The sequence below is a fragment of the Homo sapiens genome, chromosome 1 (assembly GCF_000001405.40).
Source record: "Homo sapiens chromosome 1, GRCh38.p14 Primary Assembly".
NCBI lineage: Eukaryota > Metazoa > Chordata > Mammalia > Primates > Hominidae > Homo > Homo sapiens.
This window is the reverse complement of record NC_000001.11, coordinates 143,439,245-143,447,551: the sequence shown is the minus strand read 5'-3', so window position 1 is coordinate 143,447,551 and position 8,307 is coordinate 143,439,245. Positions and strand designations below refer to the sequence as shown.

Here is an 8,307-nt window from a genome sequence, read left to right as displayed (position 1 = left end):
AGGGGCAGTGAAAAGCACACAGCTCTACGATTCAGGAGATGGTCGCATGACCTTGAGTGAGTCAATTAACCTTTCTGGGCCTCATTTTCTGTCTGTGTCTGTAAATGGAAGGACTTCAGCTGGATCACTGTTTACCCAATTGTGCTTTGTGATGCAGATGTTAATGGATGGGGTCTCTGGTGAAATAAGTTCAGCAAACCCAGGTTCAACACCTGTTTTCTCGATAGGACTTCTTAGAGCTTCTCCTGTGCATGATGCATCTCCAGTGCGAGAAGATTCTGTATCATTTCCCAATGCCATTCACTTTGTGAACCTTGTTTGGTGGAATTCCTGTTACTGTTTCACTGGAGTCCACAGTCACTACTTGAGAAACTCAAATCTAACTGATCTGGAAGTCTTTACAATATTCTGTTCTAAAGCATGGGTTGCTATAAGCAAAATCTTTTGTGAAAAACACTGTTCTAGGCTCCAGTTTAAATAAGTTCTGTGTTATGGAAAATGGGTTATGTGAGGACTTTGGAATTTCCTTCTGTAAAATATCACTCACCATTCATTATAATTACGTACTATGCTCTAGGCATTGTTCTAGATGCTGGGAATATAGTTGTCAATCAAATTCTCTGCTCTCTTGGAACATTTATGTGAGCTGTGGGAGAGATAAGCCAATAAAGAGATCTGTACTATACTGCACTGCATTGCACTGTGCTGTACTGACCAGGATAGATAATGCCAGGCAGGGGTAATTGCTATGTTGCAAAAAGCCCAGGGTGAGTAGGGTGGTGAAGCTGCTGTTTTATTTATGGTGGTCAGGGGAGGACTTTCCAAAGAGCCACATGAAGAGAGACCTTGATGAAGTAAGGATTGGAGGGCTGCTAATGTCTGGGAAGGAGAGCAATCCAGGCAGAGGGAGTGGCAAGTGCAAAGGCTTGGAAATGGGATTGTTCTTGGCACCCTCAGAGGAGTGTGGCTGGAGGGCTATAAAAGAGGAGTGTGATAGGATTAATGTTAATTGCTGTAGCAGCAATTGCAGCAGGCATGATGGAGACCCAGCCTGTGCTGGGTACAATACATGTATTAATTCATTTCACTCTCATTGCCCTGTGAGGTAAGCACTTTTATTACCCCATTTTACAGATAAGGAAATGAAGGCATTGGCAGGCTAAATAACCAGCCTGTGGTCACATAACTCCTGAGTGGCAGAGCTCAACTTGAACCCAGGTAGCCTGGCTGTGGAGTCTTTAATCCTAACTGCTCTTTGATGGTGAGAGAGGATGCCAGGACATCTTCAGTCAGCAAATGCACTAGTGCACAGATCAGGACATTCAGTTTTTTGTTCATTTGTTACTGAAATGGTTAATTGATTCATCCCCACAGCTATACAACAGCAGATCTTCACTGTGTACCTCCTCTGTGCACAGCTTTGTGTTTGGAGGGAAGGCACCCTAGGGTTATGGGCAAAGTAGCTCTTACATGATGGGCCAATTGCTTTCCTGGATTCTTATTTATTCCTCACATTAACCTCACATGTTATTATTTTTCCATTTTACAGGTGAGGACATGGGGGCACAGAGGACCTTGAGGACAAGGTTGTTTGTCCAAGGTCATGTGAAAAGTAAGTAGTGGAACCACGGTTCACCCTAGGTCAGTGGTTCTTAAATGAGGGAACTTTGCACCCTGCACCCCCACAGATATTTGGCAATGTCTGGAGACATTTTTGGTTGTCACAACTGGGTGTCAGGTGCTCCTGCCGTCTTCTGGGTAGAGGCCAAAGATGTTGCTAAACAACTTATGGTGCACAGAGAATTATCCGGCCCCAAATACCCATCTTGCAGCACTCGAGAGGCCTTGGCCAGGCGGGCAGACTCCAGGTCCCAGCTCCCCGTCCACAAGGCCACCTGCCTGGGATTGGAGGCTCCAGTGCCCTAAGTTTGAAGTTTGGCTCCACCATTTATTAGTCTTCTGAATTTGGGCACCTTTCTGAGCTCCAGCTTCTTTATCTGAGCAATGGGCACATGAACCACACAGAGCGTGAATTACACAAAACACATGCCCCAGAACTTCCTTGTTCTGATACATGCTGAATCTTCTTTTATAATTAGGCATCCATACACCATATTCATTGGTTAGAAATGAGTCATTACGTCCAAATCATATTCAAGGGGAGGTGATTAGACTTTACCTCTTCATGGGAGGAGTGCCAAAGAATTTGCAGAAGAGATGTTTTACATTTTATGCTTTATTTTTAAACACTTGTTCTCACATAGTTTCAGACTTACAGAAACCTTGCAACACGGTACAAAGAATTTCTAAATATTGTTTACCCAGATCCCCCAAACATCAGGGTTTCACTGTATCACTTATCTCTGTTCTTCCCTTTTTCTTCTGAGTCATCTAAGGTGTGATGCCCATTTACTCTTGAATATTTTGTTGCATATTTCCTAAAAACAGGGAATTCTCTCGTCTCATCTACAGACTTTATTCAGACTTCACAATAATGTCCTTTATAACAAAACAATCCAAGACCATGTGTTGCATTTAGCTGTCCCCTGTAATTTGAAAGTTTCTGCTGCTTTGTCTTTCTTGACACAGACCTTTGTGAAGATTACCTGGCCAGTTACTTGGTATAATTGTCCTTCAACTTCGGTTTTTTGGTGCTTTTCCATGATTAGATTCTGTTATGCATGTTGGGCAGGAATATCACTGATGCCATGCTGAGCTCCTGTAGCTCAAGGCATGAGGGGCAGGTGCTATTAATTAGTCCCATTACTAGCAATGTTAACTTTGTTCATGGGGTTACGGTGCTGTCCACCGTTTTACTCTTTATAATTAATATGTATTTCCTTTGGAGAAATACTTTGAGACTATGAAGATATCCTATTATTTCTCAAACTTGCATCCATTGGTTTTAGCATTTATTAGTAGCCCTTCCCTGAATCAGTTATTACTGTGGTTGTCAAATCATGTTTTTTAAAAAAATTCTGTAATCTTTCTAAATGTATTGTTGGTTTTCTACTGTAAGGAAGAACACTTGTTTATATTATTGACATCGGCATAGAATCTTGGTTTTCTAGTTTTCTGTTTGTTTTTGAGACAGGGTCTCACTCTGTTGTCTAGGCTGGAGAGCAGTGGCATGATCACAGATCACTGCAACCTTGACTCCAGGGCTGAAGTGATCCTCCCACCTCAGCCTCCCAAGTAGCTGGGACCACAGGCATATGCCACCATGCCCAGGTAATTTTTTTTTTTTTTTTTTTTTGTAGAGACGGGGCCTCCCTATGTTGTCCAGGCTGGTCTCAAGCTCCTGGGCTCAAACAGACTTCCCGCCTCAGCCTCCCAAAGTGCTGAGATTTACAGGCTTGAGTCACCATGCCCAGCCCGGGTTTCTAGTTTTTATAATAGGTTATAATCTTTTACTTGACGCTGTTAATGGATACTATTTTTACATTCCAGGTATGGGACCTGGGGACACATGTGTCCCATTTCTATGATATTAACACAATGCTCATTCTAGGGGCAACACTCAGAACACTGTTTTCTATTGTCTTCTAAGACTGTCCCTGACCTCAAATCTCTCAGTGAACTGAGGGTATCCATACTTATCATGATATTTAGGTTGCCCTAGATTTGGTGAGTGGGAGCCCTTTAAGTTGGTTCTTGTGTCCTTTTGACATGCTGTCATTATTCTTTGAGTAGTTTGTTACTTTTCAACATGAGATATGTCAGACTCATCTTGTGTATTCCCTGTCCAAGCCTTGGAATCATCCATTTTTCCAAGGAGACCAGGGTTCCTTCTAGCAGAAAATGATATGGAGAAATCAAGATGTGGGCACTAGGGTGTTTATTGTTACTGGGGTGATATTGTTTCTATATCCTCTTAAAAGACAGAGTTGGGAAATGGATACATGTATATACATGCACACATATTCATATGTGCATATACACATATCCTTGAGCATCTCTATCTATTTCTATGCCTACCTATGTACATATATCAAATCCCATGCACTCATTTTGATATCTAGCAGACATATTTTAAAAACCATCACCTCTGGTTCAAATCTTGATTCTCTAATGTTCTAGTTCATGAGAACTGGAAGTCAAAGAGATTAAGTTACCTTCCTAGGTTTAAAAAATATTAAAAAGGGAATAATTAGTTGCTTACCTTGTAGTTTATTGTCAGAGTTATGTGCTATGATGCATGTGGAATGTGTAAGGGTGTTACACAATGAGAATTTAAAAATGGTCTTCTTGTGACTGTGCCCTTAAGAGCTGAGAGTACAGGGCAGAACCTTCCTGTTTCTATGTAGTGGTTCCATGCTCCATTTTACAGACAGTGTGAGAAGCTACTAGGGATCAAGAATTCAAGAGTCAATATGCAGGAGAGGGATAGAGTAGCTGAAGAGCAAACTAGACTTGCCTACACCTAGAATAGGAAGAAATAGCACAAGATGTCAAGCTTGATAGGAGGAAGTTGTTGATATGAGGGGAGAGTTAATCAGAGAATGTTGAGCCCATGTGGAACCCCCTGGACCTCTAGGCCAATTTGGGGGAAGGGCTTAAAGGGAATATGAGTACCCCTACTCACAAGAGCAGGCAGAGCCATCAGACTTTTGCTTTGACACTGTTAATGAAGTACCATTTTGATATTCCAGGTATGAGACCAGGGGATACATGTCTCCCATTTGTAGGATATTAATAATACAATGCCAGTTCCAGGGAAAACACTCAGAACTTTGATCTGATTCTCTTCTAAGATCATTGCTGTCCTAAAAACTCTTAGTGAACTATGAGTACCAGCACTCCACCAACACTGACAGAATAAAGGTGACAACCAGTATTTGTTGACTATCTATTGGGCAAGGTGCTTTGTATACATCTTCTCATGGAATCACTGCAATATTCTTGTGACATAGGCACCATTGTCCTCATTTGGAAAAGGAGGCTGAGAGAGGCTCAATAGCAAGCCAGGTTATACTTCTAGTAAGGGATAGAAGTGGGATTTGAAGAGCATCTACTCCTGGAGAGCCCCCCTTTTGGGCTTTACACAACTCTTTGGAGGGACTCAGGAAGAGGAGAGCTCCTTCATGTATATTGCCCATGGGTCCTCTCCAGGTGAAGTATTTTGAGGTTCTGAAACCATTATCAGACTTGGCTGTAAATTCCCTCTCCATCTTGGACCTTTTCCTGTGCTCTTCCAATGGCCATTTCCAATGGGTAATTAGACCTCAGTTGTCTACATGAGTGAGATCTGCTCAGCATGGAGAGGGCTCTATTTTTCTACACCCTTGATAATTTGTAGGTTTGGGAAAGCATGCCCAGTGTGGCTTGTCAGGGCTAACACATATGCCTTCATTCATATGTCAACTTGGCTTCATGGGTAGGGGCTGCCTGGAGTCCTGGGATGAGAAAGACTACACAATTGCATTCCAACCAATGACATTGAGGGGACTGGCTAATAAATGATTTCTGTTAGGAGCTTGGGAGGTGGGGGATGTGTGAATGTTCTAAGTACTTGCCATTCTGTGTCTCTCCACAGCCCCTAAACCTGTCTTTCCTAGAACCACTTGAAAGTTAAAATATTGATGTCTGGGGCCCACTCCAAATTAGTTAAATCTGAATTTCTAAGGAATAGGACCTAAGCTTCACTTTTTAAAAAAAATTGAATGTGTTAGAATGTATATAGCCACAATTGAAAAACACCATTGGTCTACACTATCATTAGGCATGTTTGAAAATTATCTGCCTTGACCCTGCCCTGATCTTGCCTTTGCTACAATATTAAATGGGCTCTTATTAACAATGAATATATCTAATTATTCTCTAGATCTTTTATTAGCTTGAATTATTCTTAGATATTCTGCCACATAAAAGTATTTGAATGTGTAGTCTTTGTGGTTGATGGTCTAATCAGCTAAACTCAAACCTCACTGCAGCTGTGACTAGAAAGTCCTCATTGATGGAGAATCCTAGAGGTCCTTTCAGAGAAGAAAAAATAATTCAGTGGGCCAAGCTGTAATATTTTGCCTCTGATTCTCAGATTCCTTGTTGGCAAAATGGGAATGCAAAATAAATAGAGTCTATAGTCAGTACCTAATAAGTATTTGTTGAATGAATAAATTAGTGGAATACAAAATTAAAATACTTGTCTCATCAAACATCTAGAGAAAAAGGAGACAGATATAGAGCTAACCCATGCCTGTTATACCATTTAATGCTAGGCGTATGGAAGCAGATACTGTGTCTCTCTAGTTTCACAGGCTCTCAGAGAGAGAGGAACTGTACTCTAGGAGCTGCATGTGACTAGTCATTCTCAAGAAGTCCCCACCCCAATACCTGATTTGATGAGATTCTGAACTTTAGTTGATGCTGAAGGGGGAGGAGATTTTTAGGGATCTTGGCAGGACACAAGTGTATTTTGCATGGGGTGGAGGATGTGAATCACTGGGGGCTGGAGGACAGGCTTCCCAGCAGCCCCTAAGATGGCCTCCAGTGATCCATGTCTCCTGGTATTCATGCCCTTGTATAATCCTCTCCACTCCCTTATATCTTGGCTGAACCTAATGTCTTGTTCCTAACAAACACAATATGGTGAAACTGATGAACAGCACCTCTGAGAAGTTACAAAAAGAAAATGACTTCCATCCTGCTCACCCTCTCTTGCTCTCTTGCTTTCTTGTTCTGATGGAAGCCAGCAGCCATGTTGTGGGTGTTCTATGAAGAGGCCCAGTAGCAAGAAACCAGAGGCTGGGGGAGTGTCTGACCAAGAGTCAGCCAAAACCTGAACCTGCTAATAATCACATGAGTGAGCTTGGAAAGGAAGCATCCCTCAGTTGAGCCTTCAGATGAGACCATAGCCTTATATTACTCCTTGATTGCGGCCTTTGGGAGACTGTGAGCCAGAAGACCCAGCGAAGCTTTGCCTGGGCTCCTGACTCATAGACACTATCAGAAAAACACTTGCTGTTTTAAGCTGCTAAGTTCTGGGTTAATTTGTTATTTAGCAATAGATAACTAATATAGAAGAAAAGGGAGAGAACATTTATTGAATCCTTTGCTATGCCCCAGGTACTTTGTAAATCTTTTTCCATTTCATCCTTAAGTCAACCTGGATGAAAATATTCAGGTTCAGAGATGCTGGGTGAGTGCCAGGGGCAGGATATGAATCACTACTGTTTGATTTGAAAGCCTGTGCTCATTTCTCTATTCCAGGATGCAAACCAGGAGACGTTTTCTATTCTATGTTTCTTTTTTCTTTTCTTTTCTTTTCTTTTTTTGTGGCAGGGGGACAGGGTCCTGCTCTGTCATCCAGGCTAGAGTGAAGTGGAGCAATCATGGTTCACTGCAGCCTGAAACTCTTGGGCTCTGGTGATCCTCCTGCTACAGCCTACCAAGTAGCTGGGATTATAGGCATGCGCCACCACACCTGGATAGTTTTTTTTTTTTTTTTAATTTTTATTAGAGACTAGGTCGCACTACGTCACCCAGGTTGGTCTCAAACTCCTGAGCTCAAGGGCTTCTTCTGCCTCAGCCCCTACAAAGTGCTAGGATTACAGGTAGGAGCCATTGTGTCCGGCCACATTTTCTCTGTTCGTAAAGTCAGCAGTAGAATAGCTAACATTGTTGCTAAACAGTTTGTATAAAATGAGTAATTATTAGTGCCCCTGCATGCAGCCACCTGCTGTTGCTGACCTTCTGTGCCTCTGCAGCCAAACATACATCAGGTACTTATGTATACACACTCCACAGGCACACAGATGCCTCCACAATACACATGTGCCCAAGATGCAATTGCAAGCACACAAGTGCACAAATAAGTACACACATGTGTCTTCACAAAGAACTATCTCCACCTTCATTTTCTCCCATCCAAGTACTAATCAGGTCTGACCCTTTTTAGCTTCCAAGATCAGATGAGATTGGGCATGTTCAGGGTATATGGCTGTAGCCTACATCCTCTTTTTTTTTTTTTTTTTTTTTTGAGACGGAATTTCGCTCTTGTTGCCCAGGCTGGAATGCAATGGTGCTATCTCGGCTCACAGCAACCTCTGCCTCCCGGGTTCAAGCCATTCTCCTGCCTCAGCCTCCGGAGTAGCTGGGATTACAGGCATGCGCTACCACGCCTGGCTAATTTTGTATTTTTAGTAGAGATGGGGTTTCTCCATGTTGGTCATTTTTAAATGAAAGACCCTTTGAGACAGTTCATACCTAAATATGTAAATAGTGCACAAGATTTTGCAGCCTGAACAGAAATGGCCACTATAGTTTTTTCTCTTTAGCAATTTTCTGTGTGCTGTAAACAAATTTGAA

At 42.2% G+C, this 8,307-nt stretch overlaps 1 pseudogene, besides 1 other annotated feature; it reads right to left on the bottom strand.

Annotated features, from left to right (window-relative positions):
* Nucleotides 4,675-5,176: an enhancer, noted in NCBI's record as "OCT4 hESC enhancer chr1:148910110-148910611 (GRCh37/hg19 assembly coordinates)". NCBI's record gives its function as "activates a minimal SCP1, AML or CMV promoter by ChIP-STARR-seq in naive H9 embryonic stem cells {active_cell/tissue: H9 hESC(naive)}" and the evidence as "EXISTENCE:reporter gene assay evidence [ECO:0000049][PMID:30033119]".
* Nucleotides 7,838-7,947, bottom strand: RNA5SP533 (RNA, 5S ribosomal pseudogene 533; annotated as a pseudogene).